Below are 22,613 nucleotides of genomic sequence, written 5' to 3' on the forward strand. Positions count from 1 at the left end.
TGGCTAGGCACACTGGAGAGATACATCCCTGCCCTTGTGGAGCTTACAGTCCAGGGCGGAGACAGACAAATGAATGGTTACCATATTATTTACAAATGGGGTTTTTCCAGAGCCCACAGATGGGGCACCTGGCCCAGATATGGCCATCAAGAAAGGCTTCAGGGAAAGTTGATGTCTAGGCTGAGACCTAAAAGATGAATAAAAGGAGTTAGCCAGGCAAAGCAGTGGGCAAGGATGAGCCCTTAGAAGGCCTTCAGAGCCTTGCTGACCATCACCTTTGAACACATGCTGGCCACCCACACTGTGGGCATAGACTTATTAGTAGGTCCATGATTGTCACTCCTTTAATCTGCCCTACACCCACAGGTCCTTCCAAGACCCATTTCAGATGCCACCTCCCCCAAGAAGTTCCAGTCCCCATATCCCAGTGTCTTTGGTGGCCCTGTGCCCATTTGCCTGCCCTATCTTAGCCCTCTCCACTTCACTGCAATGGTATATTCACCCATTCCTTTACAAAATCAGAATCCAGAAAGGGCAGGACACCGTCTCATTTGTCTTCGTGTCCCCAGCACCCCGGTAAGCCAGGCATAGGTAGACTTTTTTTTTTTTTTTTTTTTGAGACAGAGTCTTACTCTGTCACCCAGGCTAGAGTGCAGTGGTGCGATCTCCACTCACTGCAACCTCTGCCTCCTGGGTTCAAGCAATTCTTCTGCCTCAGCCTCTTGAGTAGTTGGAATTACAGGCATGCACCACCACACCCGGCTAATTTTTGTATTTTTAGTAGAGAGGGGTTTTCACCATGTTGGCCAGGCTGGTCTCGAACTCCCAACCTCAGGTGATCTGCTGCCTTGGCCTCCCAAAGTGCTGGGATTACAGGCGTGAGCCACTGCGCCCGGTCATATGTAGACATTTGATAAATACGTTGAATGAAAGGAAACCAACTCTCCATTCTCCCCCACCCTCCCATATAATGGGACAGGAGAAAATAAGATTTATTTGAGAGGCTGCAAATGACAGGATTAGGGAGTGGTTGGAGATATCAGGAATCCGTCTAGCTACAGGTGAGATCAGGTTTTGTTTTTTTTGAGACGGAGTCTCGCCCTGTCGCCCAGGCAGGAGTGAGTGCAATGGCGCGATCTCGGCCCACTGCAACCTCCCACTCCCGGGTTCAAGCGATTCTCCTGCCTCAGCCTCCCGAGTAGGGGGTTACAGGCGCGCCACCACGCCCGGCTAATTTTTTGTATTTTTAGTAGAGACGGGGTTTCACCGTGTTAGCCAGGATTGTCTCCATCTCCTGACCTCGTGATCCGCCCCCGTCGGCCTCCCAAAGTGCTGGGATTACAGGCGTGAGCCACCGCGCCCGGCAGAGATCAGGTTCTTAAGGGAAGTCCGGAGAAATGGGGTTTTTAAAAAACCCGAGTCCAGGCTATCTGTTTGGAGGGGTTGGGAGGCTTGGAGCTGGACCAATAACTTCTTAGGTCTTGCTTTAAGGAGTGAAGATTCTCTGTAGCGACCCTCATACCTGGGCAGTGGGAGCGGGCAGAATCCTTCTTTCTTCTCTTCTCTACACCCCCTCACTCCACCCCCACCCTTCCCCGCCGCCCGTAAACCTTAGCTTTCCCCTTTCCAACAGAGGTTTCCAGCTGTTGATGCCTGGATGGACCCGGCTGCAGGGAGGAGGAGGAAACTCTCTGTCCCTCCCTTCTTCTGCAAGTCCCCACCCTCCCTCCCTCCTCCCCCTGCGCGCTCTCGGTCTCCCTCCCTCTTTCTCCTCTAGGCTGTCCAGTCGCCTCGCAGCAGCGAGCCGCGAGCGCCCTTCTCCAGTCCCGGCTTGGAACTGAACTGTGTGAGCACGGGTCCTGGAACCCGGGCCCAGAACCGGCGAGCCCAGGTCTGAGCCCAGAGCTCAGCGGTCAGCCTCGTAGGCCCTGACTCGGAATCGAGCCGAGGCGCTGAGGTTGGAGCCGGAGAGCGTGAGAGCCGAAGAGCAGGGAGGGCGGGCCGGCTGCGCGTCCGACGAGTCGCAGAGCAGGACCGCGGAAGGCAGGGAGACGGCCGCAAGCCCAGGGCAGAGGGCAGAGGGCAGAGAGCGGCCTGGCTCGGCGGAGAGGGCGCCGCCCGGCCGGAACCAAGCTCGCCGCCCGGGACGGCGGGCCCCGTGGGGCGCGGACCCAGGGTGGCCGTGGGTCCGCAGCGACTCCCCGGCCGACGGCGGGGGGCGTGCCCCCTCCCAGCCCAGCCTCCCCAACCCGGCCCGCCCGCCGCGTCGCGGGGGCATGTGAGCGGGAAGCCTAGGCTGCCAGCCGCGAGGACCGCACGGAGGAGGAGCAGGAGCGCGGAGCCGCGAGCCCCGAGCCCCGAGCCCGGCGCCTGGCTGAGTAGTAAGTGCACCCCTCCCCGCCATGATCGCGCCGTCGCGCCCATTTCCCCAGCTCTCTGAAGTTTGACACTTGCGCCCCTACGTTTCTGGGCACCCACCGGCTCTCTTCCCTGCGAGTTTCCACCCTGTGCAAAGTTTTTCGAGGAGAGACGGACCCTCACCTACCCCCAACAACGCTGGGCAGTGGCGGCTCCTCCCTGGCCGACTTGGGTCCTTGTGGAGAGGGATGGCAGCCTCTAAGGCAGTGCGTGGCTGTGTGTGTGTTTGTGTGTGTGTGTGTGTGTGTGTGTACGCGCGCGCGCGCGCGCGTTCACCACGCGGGTCGAGCTTAGGGTGCACCCCCAACCCGCTCCTCGCCGACCGCAGAGGACTAGGTCTTTCTCATCAGCCCGACTATGCGCCTAGTTTAAGGATTTCTCAGCGGGAAGCCGAAGCGACCTGCGCGCGTCCTGCGTGGGGCTCAGGTGCCTGCGACGAGGCGCAGAGCTCCTCCACCATGGTTGCGTGGGGTGCTGGGGGACAGACGCGCTCCCCTTGCCACGGTTTCAGGGTCGTTCCCCAGCGGACCAGACCAGCGCGGCATCCTGTTTGTTTTCTGCTCCGGCTGCTCCTGTCCCACCCCCACCCCCACCGCAGGCTGCTTCTTGCTACCCCCACCTCCCGCCCTGGGATATCGTAGGTGAGCCTTTTCATCCCGATTCCGCTGCAAACGCTGATCGCGCCTAGGGGTAGGGAGATGCGGAGCGGGTAGTCGTTCAGTTCCCAGCGGCTCGCCATTGTTTTCCCACCCCGCGCGTTCCGTACGTAAACACACACGCACACACAAGGTTGTGTGTGTGCGCCGGCTCTGGCTGCTTCCCGTCCCCAGGCGCGCAGGGATCGCCCGCGGGATTCGCTCAGCTGCCCGCATGGGTCTTCAGGCTGGAGGCGCTCCAGGACTTAACTGGAGCTGGAGAGGACAAGAGACGTGGGGGTTGCCGGACAGTACCGGGCGGGGCGGTGAGCCGGGCCTGGGCGGGAAGTGAATTTTGAACTTCAGCCCTGGACCTTTCCGGGAGGACCCCGAGCGCTGGAGCGGCGGCTCCCGCCCTGGAGGGCCCGCGGCAGCTGCAAAGACTCCGCTGGCGCTCTTGGCAGCCGCCTCGGTGACAGAGGCTTGGAGGAAGCCGAAGAGTTTTCCTGGGAAGTTTGCTTTGACTCTCTGGGAATTTCCGGGCAGGACGCCTCGGCGCTGGCGCTGGCGCTGGCGCTGGTGAAGGGGTCTGGCCAAAGACGGCCAGAGACGATGCTGCTGGCTCTTGACCACTAGGCTGTACTTGGCTCTCAGCAGTCCAAGTAGGTGGGTCTCTACCTCCCGGAGTTCATGCCTTCCAAACCAGTATCCCCCAAAGGATCACGACATGCCGGTTTCAAAGATGGGTGCATAACTCTGCTCGTTTTGGAGTCCAGGGAGGCAAGCTCGGTTCCAGCCGGGCGGCGCTCTCCGTCGAGCCAGGCCGCTCTCTGCCCTCTGCTCTCTGCCCTGGGCGTGGGGCTGTCTCCCTGCCTACCGCGGTTGTGCTTTCGGACTCGTCCGACGCGGCGCCAGCCCGCTACCTCCCGCTCTCCCTCTCCCCCGCTCCCTGGCTCCCCGGCTCCCTGACTCCGTAATCTGCGCCTCGGCGCAGTTGCGAGTCAGGGCCTGAGGCTGACCCCTGTTTCCACTGTGCTTCATTAGAAAGCGCTTCACAAGATGCTGGGATTCAGCACATTTGGATTCCAGTTCCCCATCGATGAGCAGCGTGGGTTTGGACTTCCCCGCATGCGAAATGGGCAGAGTTATGCACCCAACTTTGAAACTGGCATGTCGTGATCGTTTGGGGGATACTGGTTTGGAAGGCATGATCTCCAGGAGGGTAGGGACCCACCTACCTCTGGATCATTAAGGGCCAAATATAGCCTAGTGGTTAAGAGTCCTGGAGCTGGAGTTAGATCCCGGATGCCACTGGCGGTGTGACTCTGGGCAATTTAACTTAACCTCTGTGCCTCAGTTTCCTCAGCCATAAAATAGGGTTAATATGAACGCTTCATGGGGTTGTCTTGAGGATTAAAAGACTTAATAAAGTGAAACTGAGAACAGTGCCTGGCACATAATAAGTGCTAGGTAAATATGAGCTATTATTGCCATTATTACTTAACTGACCTTGTACAGAGCCCAGAAGAGCACTTGGTGATTGTGCTCAACTAATCAATTATAACATTGCCCACTTCTGGAGAGGAGGAGATCTTGTACTCTCTCCCACCCTTGCCTGATTCCAGCCCCTCAGATCAAACGTATCCTTCTTACTCCTTGTCTAGTGCCATCTTCTCGAGTCTTTTTTCTTTTTCTTGTTTCCTTCCTTTCTCCCTCCCTTCACAACTTTTGTGAAAGCATTTCATTCCCTCCTTTCCTCATTCTTAAAAATCAATCTTGGCTCAACTGCAGTGTTCTCTCCATGGAAATCAGGTCCCAGGAAGGAATTGTCTCCAAAAGGGTGTCCCTTGAGCGTCCTCAGCCTGGGCTGCTGGATCAGGATTGGATGTGCATTTGTGTCTCTGGGGCAGGGTGAATTTCCAGAGCAAAGAGCCTGTCAGGTGTCTGGGGCCCAGGGGAAGAGTCAGGTGGAATGGGCTGGGACTGTCCCAGGAGGAGCCCTGCTCCCTGGGTAGTGTCTGTGTCTCCTGCTGCTGGGCTCACTTGGGAACCTGGAATAGCACAGCTGCTTGGGTAGACTGGATGTGGGATTTGGGGTGAGGGGCAAAAGTGTCACCTCCAACTTTCCACTTGCAGTTGGAGGATTTTCTAGGAATTTGGGTTTGTCACAAGTTCCTTGTCTGATTCAGGACTCTGCAAATGCATAGCACAGGTAAGGGGCGAGCTGAGCAACCAGGAGGAAGAACAGGGTGCTGCTGCCCAGCCACACTGCCTTGGACAACAGGCTCCTGTCCTCCTTTCTCAGACCCTCCAACCTCCACCCCAGGCATGGGGGAGGATGGCCAGAAGGTTGCTTCTTCATGTTGGAGATCCTGCAATTGGCAGTTTTTAGTCATTATGACAACTGGCACTGCAGTCACCCCATTCATTCCTTCAACAGAAATTGTTGACCACCTGCTATGTGCCAGGGCCTGTGCTACGCAGTGGGATAACAGGGGAGAACAAGACAGGCAGCGTGCCTGCCTTCAAAGAGGCTTCTTTCTATTGTGGGGAGACAGACAGTAAATACTTTTAAGTAACCAAGACTATCAGATTATGACATGCAATGGGAAAGAAATACCACAGGGTGATGTGATAGAAAACATATGTAGGTCAGGCAGTGGTGGCCCTAGATTGGGAGGCCAGTGAAGGCCACCCTGGGGGAGAGGATAGCTCAGCCCAGGCCTTGAAGGCTGAGGAGCCAGCTGCATAAAGACCTGGAGACAGGGGATTGCAGGTAGAGGGAATAGCAAATGAAAGCCCCTGAGGCCAGAACAGGGGCAACAGCTATGTGGCTGGAGAGGAGAGACTGGAGAAATCAGAGGAGAGCCAAAGCCTGGTAATACTGGTTAGAAGCCTGGATTTTATTGCAGGCGATGCATCCATCAGAGAGTTTTAAGTGGGGGAGTGACATGATCTGCTCTATGATTTTAAAAGATTATTTGGGACACAAGAAACGGTAATCATAGTTGCCCCAAGGGAGGGAAATGGTGGCTGAGGGATGGGATGGAGAAAAGATTGTTTTTGCTGTAGACCCTTTTGTCCTTTCTGAATTTAGTACCAGGTGGGTATACAAACCATCCCCCAAAACCTCCCAAAAACGTGGTTAACAAAGAACAGTTTATAACCTGGAAAATTACATAAGAAGTGAAAAAATCAGGATATAAAACTACAGAGTACAATCTTAATCTTGTACAGAGAATTGTAAGTATACACATGGCTATCATGCACACACGCAAGGACAGAATCTGGGAGGATGCATCAGAATATTTACAGAGGTTAGCTCTGGATACTGGACGTATGGATGGTTTTAATTTCTTTCTTTATCTTCCATTTGTTTTTTCACTTTTCTACAATGGTCGTGAATTACTTTTGTTTGTTTGTTTGCTTGTTTGTTTGTTTGTTTTGAGATAGACTCTTACTCTGTCGCCCAGACTGGAGTGCAGTGGTGTGATCTTGGCTCACTGCAACCTCCACCTCCTGAGTTCAAGCAATTCTCCTGCCTCAGCCTCCCGAGTAACTGGGACTACAGGTGTGTGCCACCACACCTGGCTAATTTTTTTGTATTTTTAGTAGAGACGGCGTTTCACCGTGTTGGTTTGGCTGGTCTCGAACTCCTGACCTCAAATTATCCCGCCCTCCTCGGCCTCTCAAAGTGCTGGGATTACAGGCATGAGCCACTGCCCCCGGCCAATACCTTCCTCTTAGAACTGTTGGGAGGCTAATGGCTGATGATGTCTGCGGCAGCAGTGCTCCATGAATGGTAAGGGCTCTGGGGTTTTCTGTTGCCAGACAAGTGTCGGTTGAGCTAGGCCTATTCCACCAAGGGATCTAGGTGTCCTTGCCCTTGAGAGGCTGACACTGGATTCTACAAAGATTTTCTCCTCTCTGGGGGTGCTTTGAGATCGGTCCTTATTGGGCAGCTCCCCTGGGTAAGTCTCCAGGAAGCTGACACCACCGGAAAAAGTGGAATTCAAATGCAGCTGTGCTCCTGAGCCCCCTCCCCCAGCCACATTCAGGGGTGAAGCTGAGTGTTTGAAAAGGGCTCTGTGCTGGGAGGGCCGGCCAGGCACACAGTAAATCGTGCTTTGAATGGGAGTTATTTTTGTGCCCAGTGTTTGCTTAAGAGGGCTCGCTCCTGCCTGAACTCGTTGCGGTCCTCACCCTTTGCTAGTCCCCTTTCTGGAACCCGGATGTGTCAGCCAGGGAGGCCATCACAGTGCCTTTTACCAGATGGGGAACTAGACCCATGGAGGATTGCTTTCCCTCTCCTGTCAGCTCCCTGCCCCGAAGCAGGAAGGCATGCTCTAGATGGTGGTCTTTGCCTCGGTGACTACCCCCCTTTTGACTGGCCCTTCCTTAGTTCTTGGGAAGACTTGATTCAGAGATTGCTATAGGCCAGCTCAGCAGGGTTCCTCCGACCTCTGTCAGCTTCTCTGATAAAGAGTGACTGCTTTTTAAAAAATGCAAATACTTTCTCTGAGGAGCAGAGATATGGTAGTTCCCTCCTAAGAGCACTTGCTGTATGCCATGGACCCAGCTTAAAGCCCCATGGTGATGAAGCCTTTGCAGCTCCCCTAGGAAAAGATTTCTGGGCCGGGCACGGTGGCTCACGCCTGTAATCCCAGCAGTTTGGGAGGCCAAGGCGGGCGGATCACGAGGTCAGGAGATCGAGACCATCCTGGCTAAGACGGTGAAACCCTGTCTCTACTAGAAATACAAAAAATTAGCCGGGCGTGGAGGCGTGTGCCTGTAGTCCCAGCTGCTGGGGAGGTTGAGGCAGGAGAATGGCATGAACCCGGGGCCAAGATCGAGCCACTGCACTCCAGCCTGGGTGACGGAGCAAGACTCCGTCTCAAAAAACAAACAAACAAAAAAAAGATTTCTGTCCAGCCTGTGGTGTGGTCCACAGCATAGAACATTTTTTTTTTTTTTTTTTTTGAGACAGAGTCTTGCTCTGTCGCCCAGGCCTGAGTGCAGTGGTGCAATCTTGGCTCACTGCAACCTCCGCCTTCTGGATTCAAACAATTCTCCTGCCTCAGCCTCCTGAGTAGCTGGGATTACAGGCATGCGCCACCACGCCCGGCTAATTTTTGTATTTTTAGGAGAGTTGGGGTTTCACCATGTTGGCCATGGCTGGTCTCGAACCCCCGACCTCAGGTGATCCGCCCACCTCAGCCTCCCAAAGTGCTGGGATTACAGGTGAGAACCACCGAGCCTGGCCTCACAGCATAGAACCTTGTAGCTACCACCTGCTACTCCAGGTGGCTCTCCCGCCTTAGTGGGTGGCAGGGGGTCCTTCCTGCTTTAGGAATGCCCTGAGGCCTGCCTCCCTGCTCACTCCTGGCAAGAGCACATTGTGGTGCTGTCAGGGAGGACCTCCATGGTCTCAGATGGAACAGCAGCAGTGGTCAGACCTCCTAGAGGCTGTGAGGTGAGGAGGAAGTGGCTGAGGTTTCCCCTGCCTCCTCCTAAGGTCATCCATGGGCAAACCAAAGCTGCAGGATGTGCTGTGTGTGTGGCCTGGTATCTCAGAGTCCTGGGTGTGCACAGGGTGTGCACAGCTAGGAGACGTCCCGAGATCTGTACCCACATGTTGAGGGCTTCAGCCAGGGGTGTTTTTTGGGGGAGCGGAATTTGTGTGGCATAGTAGAGGAAAAGAAGGAAGAAGTGGGGACAGTATCTCCAGCTGCCACCTTTCTTCCCAAATAGCTTTGGATACCCAGGCCCTTTTGGTCACAGGAAGTCTGACACTGGGAAGTCATCAAATTTGGAATTCAGTTCCCTCCACTCTCCCCCCAGCGGTGGCCTTAGCATTTAAATAGCCTTGGCATGAAGCCCTATAAACTGCCCAAGGGATTGGGGCAGGGTTAGGGGGAGGGGTATTGGTGTTACCCCCAACATTGTCCCCCTGTGTCTTCTGGGGACATGTCCAAGCTAGGGTGTCAGTGTTTTGGCTTGAGAGGAGAGAGGGGAAGGGGCCACAGACTGGGCAGGAGCCCTCCTGGCTCCCCTCCCGCTCTGGTGGTTTTGATCGTAATCCCTGCCTGCCAAGCCTGGAGCTCCCTGGGGGATCCGCCCCAGAGGAGGCCCGACTGTTCTCCTCCCCTCTGCCTTACCTCCCCCAGTCCCCGCCCCCTGCTTGACTCAGAATGGAATGTGCAGCCTGTGGAACAAGATGGGGTGAGAACTAGTTCCCAGAGGGCCTTGGTCCCGCCCCTCCCATCCCCCAACAAAGGGGGTGAGGAACCTGGAGGCAGGGCCTGCTCCCAGGTATGGCTGGTGTTTCCCTGATGCAGACTCAGGTCCTGTGCTGAGTTGGTGCAGAGGCAGGCAGGTGCTGTGGGGGTCCAGGACTAGCCATTTGAAGGTTTTCATATAAGTCCACCATGCGGGGCAGGTGCTGAGTTAGAGAAAGTGCAGCAGGCAGAGCAGCTCCAACTCCAGCTTCTGTAGCTGGGGGTGGTCAATATCCTTTGTTGACTTTTTTTTTTTTTTTTTTTTGAGATGGAGTTTCACTCTTGTTGGCCAGGCTGGAGTATGCAATGGTGCCATCTCAGCTCACCGCAACATCCGCCTCCCAGGTTCAAGCAATTCTCCTGCCTCAGCCTCCTGAGTAGCTGGGATTACAGGCATGCGCGACCATGCCTGGCTAATTTTTTGTATTTTTAGTAGAGACGGGATTTCTCCATGTTGGTTAGGCTGGTCTCGAACTCCCGACCTCAGGTGATCCGCCTGCTTTGGCCTCCCGAAGTGCTGGGATTACAGGCATGAGCCACCACTCCCAGCCATGACTTCTTTCTTTTTTTTAAAGATCGTGGCTCATATTCGTTTTCTTATTTCTGTAGTCTCTAAGAGTAATACAACAATGTGTATCACTTTCGTCATCAGGATGAAAAGGATTTAAAATAAATCTAATATTTCCAGATAGTGAAACAGAAATGTCATCAGTGTTTGTTTCCACGGAAGACCAAGAGGAGTCACGGTTTGACCAGCGCTAAGAGGGGATGTGGCAGGAAGAGTGGTTGTGCAAATGTGTCAGACTGGGCTGATGCCCTTTCACGATGACAACTGAGTGGGCCCCACGGACCCCCTGGCGGGCTCTGGGGGTGGGGGTTGGGGGGTTGCCTGGGACTCATGGGGCCTCCTGCTTTGGCCCTGGCGCCTAGGAAAGGCTAGACAGGGAGGGGAGCCTTGGCGTGAGCTGCCCTCACACTGACTTAAAAGCATTAACTCTTGCCTGGCCACACAAGGCAGGACCTGGCACTCCTCAGAGTGGAGGGTGAGGAGGGTTTTCTGTCTTAGCCCTCAGCCTGTGTGGGGTATGAGGTCCCCCACCCTCATGCGAACAACCTCTCCCCACCCTCCAGCCCTACTGAAGGAGTCTGAAGTCACTCAACCATCCTTGTGAGGTTTTGGTTCTGGCCTGTTCCATGAGGGTGGGGTAGGGTGGGGAAAGAAGGGGGAATAAAATGTAGTGGGGAGGGGTGGAAGGAAGCCTGTGTGCAGGTACAGCCGTGGCTCAGAGGCAGGTGGGGTGAGGGCAGTGGGGCTTGAATAGGGCGCTGTCGAAAGCAGAGGGAGTGGCCCCTTCAGCCCCTGCTGTTTCTCAGGCTTGCCCGGCTCCTCTTTTCTTGGCTGGTGGTGGGGTGTGTGTGGGGGGGAGGGAAGCTGAGTGTGATGTGTGTGTGAGTGTAATGTGAGTGTGATGTGTGTGTGGGTGTATGTGTGGGGGGCCAGGTGTGTGTGTGTTTGTGAAGGGCTGAGCGTGATGTGTGTATCTATGAGTGTGATGTGTGTGTGTGGAGGGCCAGGTGTGGTGTGTGTGTGTGTGTGCACATATGTGTGCAGGCAGGCAGGGGCCTGTGCTCTGGAGACCCTGGCCAGGCTCCTCCAACCCATGGGAACCAGGCAGGGCCTCCGAGAACTCCAGGGAGACAGTGAGGACATTAGACGGATGTCAAGAAGGAAGGGAGAGTAGAATGGAAGAAAAAGGAAGAGTCAGAACAGCCAGCTTCTGGTGCCCCAAGCACGTTGGGGTTTCAATCCCAGTATACCTGGGGAGGAGCAGTAGTGGGCTATCACCCCCTTCCCTCCTTTTGCTGTCAACTTTGTTTCCGGGGCAGTCATGGAACCCCAGCCATCCCCCTCGCCCGGGAGCACTTAATATGGGAGTGTCTGGCCAGGGCAAGGGGCTGAGGAAGAGAAAGGAGAGGTAGAGAAAGACCCAATGGTGGGCTCCCTAACTGGGGCTTGTGGGGCAGGGAGAGGAGGCCTCTCCTCCCTATCCAGTAAACTCCTAGGGACCAGAACAGGAAACAGGGTCAGAGAATAGAGAAAGGGGACCTGTGTCAAATCTTGACTTGGGTAGAGGTGGGTAGCAAGAGGGCTTTCTGTTTGATATCTGAGTAGACAAGGGATGGACTTGACTGCTCTCGGCCAGAGAATCCTTGAAATGGGTGTACAAGTCTAGGTGAATGGGCCTTTCTTAGAGTTGTGCAGTGCACAGTCTGTACAACTGTACACGATAGCCTGTTGGAACTGGCTGAAAGCATCAGGGACCTTTGGTTTTCATAATGTAAATTCCCCTTCTCTTCTACTGGGTTCACCTGACCTTAGATCCGTACTTCTCACCATGGTGGCACCCTCCATTTGGGGCTCATTTTGGCTATCTGTGTTACCCTTTTCTGGGCACTGATTAACTTGAAGTTTGGAGAACCAGAATTGTGTGTGTAGTGGGGAAGGGGGTTGTGTGTGAGTGTTGGTGTGTTTGGCAGTTTAGAGAGGGTCTGTTGGACTGTTGACACCCTTTATTGAGCCTGAGTCCTCTTGGGCCAATTGGCCACAGGTGTAAGGAGCCTCCTGATTCCTGAGTCAGGACTGATGGGGTTTAGGAGCTCTCAGATGGGGCAGGTAAGACTGAAAGGAGGCACGTGGGGAAGAGAGGAAGTTTCTGCCTCACCTGACAGCAACCCCTGCCCCAGGCCCTTCTGCTTTTCCTCAACCCACAGGGTCTTCTTTATATCCCTGCCTTCCTCTCTCTATCTCCCATCATCTAAACTCATCCATTCCTTGCCCTTCGGGATCCGTGCTCCTTGATCTCTAAGGAGATAGCTTGGATAGTCAGCTTTACCAATCTAGGTGTGTGGACAGATTAACAGGTAACTCCAGAAGCACATTGGCCTTTTAAGCAGCCGCGGGGCCTTACTAATCCAAGAGGTGATTGAAAAGCAAGAACTTGAGGTGGAGATGGAGTGGATGTTGGGGACTGCGGGGGCCTTCTCTGGTCCTCCGTCCCTGAGGCAGGTATGTAGGGAGCACCTGCCTTGTGGCTATGCCGGGCCACCCTGGGCTGGGGCTGAAAGACCATGAAGCCAGCATAGCCCTGACACAACTTGGAGAAAGTGAAGTAAGTAACTGATACCAGTACTGACAAACTGAGGGGAGGGAGGGACAGGGCAGGATGTTTCGGGAGCACCCACGAAAAGTTCCCTGAAAGACATAACATAAAGATCTGGAGGGTGGGGAGGAGAACAGGTCAGAGGGAAGAGGAGGTCATAAGGGTAGGTCCCCTCCACATCTCCCAGGGGCCCCACCTGGGCCTCTAAGGGCATGTCAGATGGTCCTATTCCTCACTAAGGACCCAGGCACACTATGACTTTGCGGGAAGAGTGAGTGCTGGGCATTTGAAGACAAGGTGGCCAGGGGCTCCCAGAGCTCAGGGGCCTTATTCAGCTACAAGTCGTGTGTGCAAGCACGGGGCAGCATGGGTTTTGGTGTGCACTACCATACGTGGGGGCCCTGCCTGTGGTGTGGTGCTGTGGGTTCAAGCAGGACTTGGGCACTCTGTGGTGTGTGGCCCAAGCTGCCAGGGGATTGAAACCCCAAGCCTCTCCCAGGCAGCTGTGGGGGGTGCAGGATTGCTAGGGCCAACTGCAAATTAGCCAGGCTGGCATTAAATGCCTTTGCTGCCTCTCTCCTCCTGTCCCTCCCTACCCTCCTGAAAATCAACAACTGTGTCAACAGCAGGGTGATTGTGCTTGGCCAGCAGCCTCCAGGGCTGCCAGGACCAGGCAGGTGCTGGCAGGGGCTGCTGGAGCCCCATGCTGGGAGCAGGCTGGGCCTAGCTGCCAGGGCTGCAGGATAAACAAGGCCGCACACAGGCTCAGCCGGGAGGGAGGCCACAGGCAGGCAGGAGGCGAGAACAGGTGTCTCAGGAGCTCTGTAGACACAAAGGGCCTCTTGTCTCCTCCTCCCTGGCCTCAGGGAGCCAGCCCCTTCCTCCCTCCTCTCAGGCCCCGCCCAGAGATCAGTGACCAGGTCAGCCAGGGGATGCTGTCTTCCAGATTCACCCCCTTGCCTCTCAGGGTTTGTTGTTGCTTGAGACAGAGGTGAGACTAGACCATGTGGGGGTGAGGTGCATTAGCCTGAGAGGTAGGAAATCTGCCTCTGAGCGAATCCACCAGCCCTGAGGTCTCTGTGTGTTTCAGTTTCCCTGCTGGAAAGACAGCAAGATCTCTCCCACTGGGACACCCAAACATGAAATGGATGGGAGATGGGAAAAGCATCTGGAGATTTGGGGAAGAAAGACGTGGTGAATGTCAGGAGTGATGGAAGCTAAGATGAGACTTAAGGGATTCCAGGTGGGATTTAGGGCAGGAGGTGGCCAGGGTGTGGCAACCCTCCTTCCTCCTTACCTATTTCTAAAGCAGACCTTTACAGAGCACCTACTGTGTGCCAGCCACTGCACTAGGGACTGGGGAGGACATGGAGAATAATATAGTACCAGCACAGACAGACAGGCAGCTTCTGGAGCCAGACTGTCTGTGTGATCTTGGGTAAGTAATCTAGCCTAACCATAGAGATGATAACAATTGTACCTGCCACAGGCTCATGGGGCTATTGTGATGGTGAAATGTAAAGATGTAAAGTATAGAGAAAGGATGTAAAACTGCCCGACATATAGTAAGGGCCATTTAAAAGATGCCTGTTATTGTCCCTCTTCTTGAGAGCATATTAAGGGCTCAAATCTAGCCAGAGTCTGGCGGGTACAGAGGTAAACAAATAATGGCAGGTTGGTTAAGTACTGGACACCAGTGATGTCCAAGGTCTCTAGGATGCCCTGGAGAAATAATGAACTCTTCTAAGATTGTTTGGAAGGGATTTATAAAGGACATCTAGGCTGGGTTTTGAGTGAGGTATGGGAGTTCGCTGGTCAAGAATGTAGGAATTACAAAAGCAGAAAGTGCATATTTAAAAAAAAAAAAAAGATCCAGGCCTGGTGGCTCACCCCTGTAATCCCAGCACTTTGGGAGGCCGAGGCAGGTGGGTCACGAGGTCAGGAGATCAAGACCATCCTGGCTAACACGGTGAAACCCCGTCTGTACTAAAAAAAAAATACAAAAAAATTAGCTGGGCGTGGTGCCGGGGGCCTGTAGTCCCAGCTACTCGGGAGGCTGAGGCAGGTGAATGGTGTGAACCCGGGAGGCGGAGCAGTGATCGTGCCACTGCACTTCAGCCTGGGCAACAAAGCAAGACTCCGTCTCAAAAAAAAAAAAAAAGAAAAGAAAGAATGTAGGAAGTGCCTTCTAGCCTTCTAGGCAGAGACACCATGTGAGCCAGACCCCGGAGGTGTGAAAGTATGAGTATGTGTCCTAAGTACATGTTTGTGAGCACAGCTGGAGGAGTGGCCTGGGCCAGGTGTGGAGGGCCTGTGCAGCCTGGAAAGGAGTTGGGGCTCATCCCAAGCTCCTTGCCGGTTCCTCCAGGGTCGGGTGCCAGCTTTGGCCATCACTGTGTCTATCTTCCCTCCCCCTCCTCAGTTCACTGCATTATGAATAACTCAGCTTTGCACACTCTGGAGTAGCCTTCAACTTTTTAAAAAATTTTTTTTGTTTTTGAAATGGAGTCTCGCTGTGTCGCCCAGGCTGGAATGCAGTGGCGCGATCTCGGCTCACTGCAACCTCCGCCTCCCAGGTTCAAGAGATTCTCCTGCCTCAGCCTCCCGAGTAGCTGGGACTACACACATGTGCTGCCACACCCAGCTAATTTTTCTATTTTTCATAGAGAAGGAGTTTATCATGTTGGCCAGGATGGTCTCTATCTCTTGACTTCGTGATCTGCCCGCCTCGGCCTTCCAAAGTGCTGGGATGACAGGCATGAGCCACTGCACCTGGCCTGCCTTCAACTTCTAGAAAGGCAGGATAGTTTAGTGACAACATCATGGGGTGTTAGAGTCAGAAAGTTTGGAAGTTTCTGGGTTTTGACTCTAAATATGGAGCCATTTACCTAATTTCTTTGAGCCATATTTTCTTTATCCATAAAATGGCGTAATGGTTCTCCCTTGTGGCAGGGTGATGGTACGGATTAGAGAAAGATGTGTGTGTGCTGGGCTCACAGTAAATGGTAGCTATTAGGGTCCCTCTGTGATCTGGCTCATGTCCGAAGCCTGTCTGGGCCTTGGTCTCTAGATCTGTAACAAGGAGACAATGGTCTTTCTCCTTCCTTTTTTTTTTTTTGAGACGGAGTCTCACTCTGTCACCCAGGCTGGAGTGCAGTGGCGCGATCTTGGCGCACTGCAAGTTCTGCCTCCCGGGTTCACGCCATTCTCCTACCTCAGCCTCCCGAGTAAGCTGGGACTACAGGCACCCACCACCAGGCCCGGCTAATTTTTGTATTTTTAGTAGAGACGGGGTTTCACCGTGTTAGCCAGGATGGTCTCGATTTCCTGACCTTGTGATCTGCCCGCCTCGGCCTCCCAAAATGCTGGGATTACAGGCGTGAGCCACCGCGCCCAGCTTTTCTCCTTCCTTCCATGACTTCTGCAGAGGCAAAAGGGCCAGGCTGCCCATCACCTGGGTAGATAAGTCAGGCTGGGAGGCCTAGGACTGCTCGCCTTATACAGAGGGGTCAGGTGCCTGCCTTCCCAGGGGCACCAGCTGGACCCTGCTGACTCCATGGTGGCTGCAGCTATCTGTTCCAGGACCTTCCTGTAGCTTCCCAGGGCCTGCTCCCTGTGCATGAGGCAGTAGGCCCCCCTGTCCCACCTTTTCTTATGGGAGCACCCTGACATCTCCCCTTTCTGTCTGTGCTGGTGTTTCCGGGAGGTGCTGGGACCACCAGTGCTAAGGCCCTGGTCTAGCTTCTACTGCTAATGGCTTGTATGCCCTCAGGGCTGTCACTTAGCCACTTGGAGCCTTACTTCCTCCATCTGCAACTTGGGAAGGAGCATTTTGAGTTCTCTTGCTATAAAGTAAGAATTCTGGTTTGCTGGAAATAGAGTTAGATGAGGATGATGACAACCACACTGGCAGTTTTTGCTGCAGTTTCAAAGCCCGGATGTGGAGTCAGACACTTTGCCACAGCCCCGCACAGGATGCTTCTGTGAGGCTTGTCTCGGGTACCTCATAAAACCTTCTAGTTTGGAAGGGCAGGGAGCATCTACTCCTCAGATTTGGCAGATGAGGATATTGGAAATTGTCTAGGTAGTGGGGCTTCCAGAGTCCCACCTGGCTGTGGATCTGCAGGGATGAGGCTGGTCTATGCGGTATGTCTGACTCTGTTCAGAACAAGTGACAGCCCACACTGGGATCTTGCTTTAGAGTCCCTTGGCCTCCTGCCCTGGCATCTTGCCATTGGTTTTGGGGAAATGGTGATGGGAAGGGCCCATTGGGTCTCCAGACAGTCACAGGGAACCATCCTGAGACTGGATCTGGAAGGATGTGTGCTTGTAGGGCCCTCATTTACCTTCTCCTCCCTCACTTCCCACCTTGGCTGTGGACGTAGCCCTGTTTTCTCTTCCCCTGTGGTCATGTTTCTCAGATAGCCACAAAGTGGGCTGAGACCAAGGAGAGGCATTGGTGCAAAGGGGATGCTGGTCGATTCGGCTGGGGACACTACTCTGGGTTCTCCTAGCCAGGTGGTCAGATGACTCCCTACGTAGCCTTGGAAACTGCCCAAATAAGAAAGAGAGCGAGGCAGAAAGAGCAGCAGGGACACTCGGATTTTTCCAGGGGCTTTGTCCATATTTACATGGCATTTGCATATAACCAGTACACTAAACATAATTTTATAATCTATCCCCAGGCACATTCAGATTTGCCTTTTACTCTTGTTCTTTCCAGAGATGGCTGGTTCTGCCTTTTTGCACCTGTCTGTGCCTTCTCACTCCTGTCCCGTTACCCCCACTCCCAGACTGGGGGTAGGTGACTGGGAACAGAGTCAGTGTGGGGTAGGGGTCATTCCTGCTGTTGAACTGATCTGATAAGATGAGATCAGACCTGACCTCTCTGGGCTTAGCACAGACGGCTGGATGCACAGGCCCAGCCTCCCCTCTGCATCCCACCCCAGCGGCCACCACCTCGCCTCGTCAGGGATCAGGACACCATGCCTGGCACTCAGCAGGTACCCATTAAATGTGAAGTGAAAGCTCAATTAGAGTTCGGACAAATACATACTGTGCAGGCTCCTCGGGACCTGGCTTTTGAGCTCATGAAGGGAGATGCTGGTGGGTTGAGGGGAGCCTCCAGTGGTCCAGAGGGTGGGAGGAATCAATTTCCCTCTCAGCGATTGTGACCAGGGAGGCATTTCTTTCTCTGCTTGGCCTTGCAGGAAACAGTGTTGAGAATGAGAGGAGCAGAAAGGAAGAGCTAGGCCTTGTATTAATTTGTTTTTCAGATTGAGTCTCTGTTACTAGCAATTTATTACATCCGGGTCTCCAGCCAAGCACATTCTGTTCTCCAGTGTTGGGGGAAGATGCATGGGGGGGTGGGGAAGAGGCTGGACAGGAAAGAGGAGCAGATCAACAATTTTATGACTGAGTGTGTGGTGTCTTGGCGTGCGCTAGAGGACGGTTTTAGCACAGGGCATTTTGAGCCCAGCCCCGTGTGGGGAGGCACTCCTCTGGACAGCATGGCATTCCCATGCGAGCCCAGACAGCCCTGGGGAGCAGGATGAATGGGCTTCCCTCCCACTCTCATGCCCGCCGGCCTCAGGGTCCAGATTTCTCTCTGTGAAATGAGGTCAGGACAGTGATGCCTGGAACAAAATCATAGTTTCTTGAGGCAGCGGGGCCTGGGGAGATCCCTCCGAGGAACAGGGGAGCAGCTGTGTGAGGGGACCCCGGAAGAGGGGTAGCAGGCAAGGCGGCCACCCTGTGGAAAGAATGGTGCACAAGCAAAACAACCCCCTCTCTGCAAAAGTGCTGAGCTGGTGGAATTTCACTTGGCGGCTGTGAGATCAGGGCAGTAGATAGAGCCCTGCGGGCACCAGGGCTGTGTGGGTGCAGGGGGTCCCGGAAGAGAGGGCAGGGGCAGCACCTGTGGCACCCTCTCCCCTGAGCTGGCCTCCACATTGCCCAGGGCTCATCACTGGTCCCCATTCCTGGAGGTGCGTCCCTTATCTCTATCCACCTGTCACGTAAGTTGGTCTCATTCTTCCCATTTTCCCTCATTCTCTTCCCAACTGTGGCTTTGACTAGAAGTAGCTACATCATCTAGTCTTCAAGGGGCCAGCATTGCGTAGAGGGCCATGGTGCCAGAGGGCAGGGAACTCTGGTAGGAGGAACTCTCTCCGACCAGGATGGTGGTGGCTGAAGCCCCCGGGGCCTCTGCCTTATGGCTGGGCCTCTGGTGGGAGCCCAGGCTGCTTAGGGGAGAGTGAACCCTTCGGTAGTGGTTTTTTGCATCCCAGCCACATCTTCAAGCTGGGTGCCATTGGATGGTTGTTGAAGGGCAGATTCACTGGAAGGATAAGAAGCTCTGGTGGGACTCTGGGTAGAGCCAGCACAGAGAATGTGTGTGTTGGGCAGTCGGGGAGAGAGGGTGTTAGGCAGGGAGAGCATGGGCCTGGTTTCCAGCTGTGAGGTTTGAACTATTATTATCCTCCACACTGAGCTGATGGCCACTTAACCCTGAGGCTGGTTACTTGTTCTCTGTTCTCTGGGTTGACTGCCTCCTCCCTGACTAGCTCAAGACTTCTTCTTCTTCTTTTTTTTTTTTTTTTTTGAGATGTAGTCTCACTCTGTCACCCAGGCTGGAGTATAGTGGCATGATCTTGGCTCACTGCAACCTCCGCCTCCAGGGTTCAAGCGATTCTCCTGCCTTGGCCTCCCGAGTAGCTGGGATTACAGGTGTGCGCCACCACACTCGGCTAACTTTTTTGTATTTTCAGTAGGGACAGGGTTTCACTATGTTGGCCAGGCTGGTCTTGAACTCCTGGCCTCAAGTGATCCACCCGCCTGGGCCTCCCAAAGTGCTGGGATTACAGGTGTGAGCCACCATGCCCGGCCAAGCTCAAGACTCTTGCCAAAGGCTCAGGAAAGGATGAACTCAAATTCGATTCAGCACGGGTGAATTTGGTAAGTGTGTATTGAGCATGGATTCTGGGCCCAGTGTTCTGCTAAGATGAGCATCTGTAGGGCACCTTTGCACCAGGTGCTGTAAGGAACACCGGTGACTTACAGAGGCTGAGGAGGCCCTGTGGGGTGGGAAGGGATGGTGTTAGTTTAGATTGCAGTTAGGCGGAGACCATCCAGGTTAGAAGGAACCTTGGACACGGGCCGAGGAGCTAGGACTTTGTTGACAATGGGGAACCAGAGGATCTGTCAGAGAACTTTCAGAATGGGTGGCTCATTCATTCAGGCTGAAGCTGCTCTCTCATTGTCCTGCAAAAAATTCCAACAGAACACTGTTCTTTTCCTTTCCATTCAAAGACATTTTTGCTGCCTTCCGTATTGAACTGCCTGGTAACTGAGACAACTTTCCCTTCCCTGCCAGGGCTAGTGGGTTCCCAGGGCTGCCACCCTGGGAAAAAGACAAGTCGCGTTTCCTCGTCTGCCCTGACCCATGCTGCTCACGGCTTTGGTCCCACTGGGACCCAAACGAATCAGTGTGGCCAGCTTTCCTGGGATATCCAGCATGTGCAGTTTCCAGCATGAGCATGCTTATATTGTTCAGGATCGAGGAATATTGATCTCTAGATGTCTTTTTAAAACCAATGGTTTGGTATATTTGTGAATGAATGAGATACTCATCCAATGGATAAGCTTTACCAAGCCCTCATTATGTGAAAGGCACTGGGCAAGGCTAGGGGTGAGGGGATCAGACCCCACCCTCAGGGATGCTCTAATCTCTCTGGGGAGGTGAAACAGTTCATTGTGGGAACAAAGCCTCTTTCCCATCTCTGTAGCCTTGGGTTGGAAGGCTGGGGGCAAGGTGAAATCAGACTGGGGTTTGAGTCCTGGCTCTGCTTCTGAGCCCTGTGATTTCTGGCAAATAACAGAACTTTTTTCGTTTTCTTTGTGTGCGTGTGCGTGTGTGTGTGTGTGTGTGTGTGTTTGTGTTTTAGATGGGGGTCTCACTATATTGCACAGGCTGGTCTTGAACTCCTGAGCTCAAGCAGCCCTCCCACCTGAGCTCCCAAAGTGCTGGGATCATAGGCGTGAGCCACTGTGCCCCACCTCTTTCTTAGCTTTGGCTCTTTCTTTCTTTGTTTCTTTGCTTTCTTTCATTTGTTTGTTCTTTTGTTCATTCTTTCTTTCGTTCTCTGTCTGCCTTTCTGTCCTTTCTGTCTTCTTTTTTCTTTCCTTCGCTTTCCTTCTTCTGTCTCTTTCACTTTTTTTCTCTCTTCTTTCTTTGTTTCTTTGATGTAGGGTCTTGCTCTGTTGCCCAGGCTGGAGTGCAGTGGCACGACCCTAGCTCACTGCAGCCTTGAGCTCCTGGGCTCAAGTGATTCTAGCTGTGACTTAGGCATGTGCTACTACACATGGCTAATTTTTAAGTTTTTTTGTAGAAACAAGGTCTTGCTATGTTGCCCAGGCTGGTCTTCAAAGTCTGCCTTGGTCTCCTGAAGCACGCTGGATTATAGGTGTAGGCCCACCACACCTGGCCCAGAACTTTTTTTTCTTTTTTTTTGAGACAAGGTTTTGCTCTGTCACTCAGGCTGGAGTGCAGTGGCATGATCATGGCCCACTGCAGCCTTGACCTCCTAGGCTCAAGCAGTCCTCCTGACTTGGCCTCCCAAAGTGCTTGGATTACAAGTGTGAGCCACCACTTGTGGCCTCAGAACTTTCTTAAACCCTAGTTTTCTCACCTACAAAGTGGGAAAAGAATAACACCTACTTTGAGAGATTAAAAGGATTTAATGAAGTGATGTATATATTATGGCCCTTAGTATAGGACCTGGAGTATAGAAGGCTTTGGTAAGTGGGAGCTGATATTAGTGTGATGGCTGCTGTGGAGGTGGTTGTTGAAGTCTGTCCTGGGGTGGGGACAGTCCAGCATTCCTGGGCCTACTTGGATTTAGGGGGCTGCTCCTCCTAGGGTCATGGGCATGGCCTTTATGGGGTATGGGAAAGGAGGGGAATCAGCTTCCCGGTGTGTGGTGGGGACAGGCACTGTCTCCTATAACACCTCCTTTGGTTGCTACGTGCAGATTTGCTGTGCAGCACGGGTCAAGTTACTTAGCCTCTCTGTGTTTCCGCTTCCTAACTGAAATGCCATTAATCACAATGCTCTCACTTGAGAAGAGAGAACATTAGAAGGGTCACATGAGAAGAGTCTAGAATAGTGCGTGGGAATCTTATCCAGGTGTTGGCTATTTGTTGCTGTGATTATTCTGTTTTTGGAGTGACCCCCATTCAGTCAAAGAAGCAAGGGTGAGAGCTGCTGTCCCAAGTGTATCAGCATAGGGACGTGGGGACGTGGGGGAGGTGGACTGGGGCATGGACCTCGCTATGCTGGCCCCAGGGAGCAGCCTAGAGAAGGAAAGAAACTGTTTCTCGAATGCTAGCTGTAGGTAGGGCGTTCCCAGGTGTGACTGAAATGACAGTCTGGCTCAGAGCACACTGCCTTTTCTTCCCACCTTAACTGGTTACTAAGGGGACAGTTCTACACTACACAGGATTGATTTCTGTGAAATCTATGGAATTTACATATAGTTTTGAGGGGCTGCTTTGAGGCATGAAGCCACCGTATTCACAAAACCCAGCTGCGGGTGAATTGCAATTTATAATAATAAACAGCCTGTACCTGACCTTTGGACCCTGGGTGCTCAGGATGATGCCTGTGGGGCCTGACAGGAAGTGAAGGCGGTGGCATGGGTGTGGGGGGCCACCCCTCCCTCTGACCATGGTGGCGGGTGGCATCCAGGCCCAGAGAAGCCTTGTCACTGGCTGTCCCCTTGGCACCCAGCCCAGCAGGCGGAGAGGGTTAATTGGGATTTGGAGTGTCTGTGGAAAGTAGCCTCTTCTCAAATATCTTGTGCTATGGTTTGGAACTTTGGAATCAGGCATACCGAAAGTGGAATTCTGTCTTCAAGTAAGCCTCAGTTTCCTCATCTGTACAATGAGTTTTGTCCCTGAAGAAAATCCACCTGTGAAGTGCTTAGCTTGTGATCACTCAGTAAATAGGCACTGTCATTATCTTTCTGATGAGGGGCTTCCATATGTGACCTGCCCTGGGCTACAACTCGAACATGGAAATCAGAAGCTTAGCAACACTATTATTTCCACTGCATCAAAGG

At 53.5% G+C, this 22,613-nt stretch overlaps 1 protein-coding gene across 4 annotated transcripts in view, besides 9 other annotated features; it reads left to right on the plus strand.

Annotated features, from left to right (window-relative positions):
• Window positions 1-1,784: 1,784 nt before the first annotated feature.
• Window positions 1,785-22,613, plus strand: part of SOX13 (SRY-box transcription factor 13) — a 54,629-nt gene continuing 33,800 nt past the window's right edge. For 2 of the 4 annotated variants that reach the window (NM_005686.3, XM_005245623.4), the window contains exon 1: window positions 1,785-2,381. The gene's annotated coding sequence lies outside the window, so the exon portion shown is untranslated. Of the gene's footprint in view, window positions 2,382-8,243; window positions 9,366-22,613 lie in introns of those variants that run through there. The other 2 variants (XM_047435006.1, XM_047435007.1) reach the window with 1 other exon arrangement.
• Window positions 2,464-3,156: an enhancer, noted in NCBI's record as "H3K27ac hESC enhancer chr1:204042922-204043614 (GRCh37/hg19 assembly coordinates)". NCBI's record gives its function as "activates a minimal SCP1, AML or CMV promoter by ChIP-STARR-seq in primed H9 embryonic stem cells {active_cell/tissue: H9 hESC(primed)}" and the evidence as "EXISTENCE:reporter gene assay evidence [ECO:0000049][PMID:30033119]".
• Window positions 3,851-4,542: an enhancer, noted in NCBI's record as "H3K27ac-H3K4me1 hESC enhancer chr1:204044309-204045000 (GRCh37/hg19 assembly coordinates)". NCBI's record gives its function as "activates a minimal SCP1, AML or CMV promoter by ChIP-STARR-seq in primed H9 embryonic stem cells {active_cell/tissue: H9 hESC(primed)}" and the evidence as "EXISTENCE:reporter gene assay evidence [ECO:0000049][PMID:30033119]".
• Window positions 6,170-7,098: an enhancer, noted in NCBI's record as "H3K27ac hESC enhancer chr1:204046628-204047556 (GRCh37/hg19 assembly coordinates)". NCBI's record gives its function as "activates a minimal SCP1, AML or CMV promoter by ChIP-STARR-seq in naive and primed H9 embryonic stem cells {active_cell/tissue: H9 hESC(naive and primed)}" and the evidence as "EXISTENCE:reporter gene assay evidence [ECO:0000049][PMID:30033119]".
• Window positions 7,099-8,027: an enhancer, noted in NCBI's record as "NANOG-H3K27ac-H3K4me1 hESC enhancer chr1:204047557-204048485 (GRCh37/hg19 assembly coordinates)". NCBI's record gives its function as "activates a minimal SCP1, AML or CMV promoter by ChIP-STARR-seq in primed H9 embryonic stem cells {active_cell/tissue: H9 hESC(primed)}" and the evidence as "EXISTENCE:reporter gene assay evidence [ECO:0000049][PMID:30033119]".
• Window positions 9,111-9,405: an enhancer, noted in NCBI's record as "tiled region #2526; HepG2 Activating DNase matched - State 5:Enh, and K562 Activating non-DNase unmatched - State 10:DNaseD". NCBI's record gives its function as "activates a minimal TATA promoter and a strong SV40 promoter by Sharpr-MPRA in HepG2 and K562 cells {active_cell/tissue: HepG2 | K562}" and the evidence as "EXISTENCE:reporter gene assay evidence [ECO:0000049][PMID:27701403]".
• Window positions 10,815-11,742: an enhancer, noted in NCBI's record as "H3K27ac-H3K4me1 hESC enhancer chr1:204051273-204052200 (GRCh37/hg19 assembly coordinates)". NCBI's record gives its function as "activates a minimal SCP1, AML or CMV promoter by ChIP-STARR-seq in primed H9 embryonic stem cells {active_cell/tissue: H9 hESC(primed)}" and the evidence as "EXISTENCE:reporter gene assay evidence [ECO:0000049][PMID:30033119]".
• Window positions 15,801-16,345: an enhancer, noted in NCBI's record as "H3K27ac-H3K4me1 hESC enhancer chr1:204056259-204056803 (GRCh37/hg19 assembly coordinates)". NCBI's record gives its function as "activates a minimal SCP1, AML or CMV promoter by ChIP-STARR-seq in primed H9 embryonic stem cells {active_cell/tissue: H9 hESC(primed)}" and the evidence as "EXISTENCE:reporter gene assay evidence [ECO:0000049][PMID:30033119]".
• Window positions 22,057-22,201: an enhancer, noted in NCBI's record as "145 bp enhancer 209 fragment used in the MPRA reporter construct; PK_construct_1793". NCBI's record gives its function as "activates an SV40 promoter by MPRA in HepG2 cells {active_cell/tissue: HepG2}" and the evidence as "EXISTENCE:reporter gene assay evidence [ECO:0000049][PMID:23512712]".
• Window positions 22,122-22,135: a transcriptional cis regulatory region, noted in NCBI's record as "HNF4 motif; enhancer activity is reduced when this motif is scrambled". NCBI's record gives its function as "necessary for full MPRA enhancer 209 activity {active_cell/tissue: HepG2}" and the evidence as "EXISTENCE:site-directed mutagenesis evidence [ECO:0005528][PMID:23512712]".

This window comes from Homo sapiens, chromosome 1 (genome assembly GCF_000001405.40).
Source record: "Homo sapiens chromosome 1, GRCh38.p14 Primary Assembly".
NCBI classification, from domain to species: domain Eukaryota; kingdom Metazoa; phylum Chordata; class Mammalia; order Primates; family Hominidae; genus Homo; species Homo sapiens.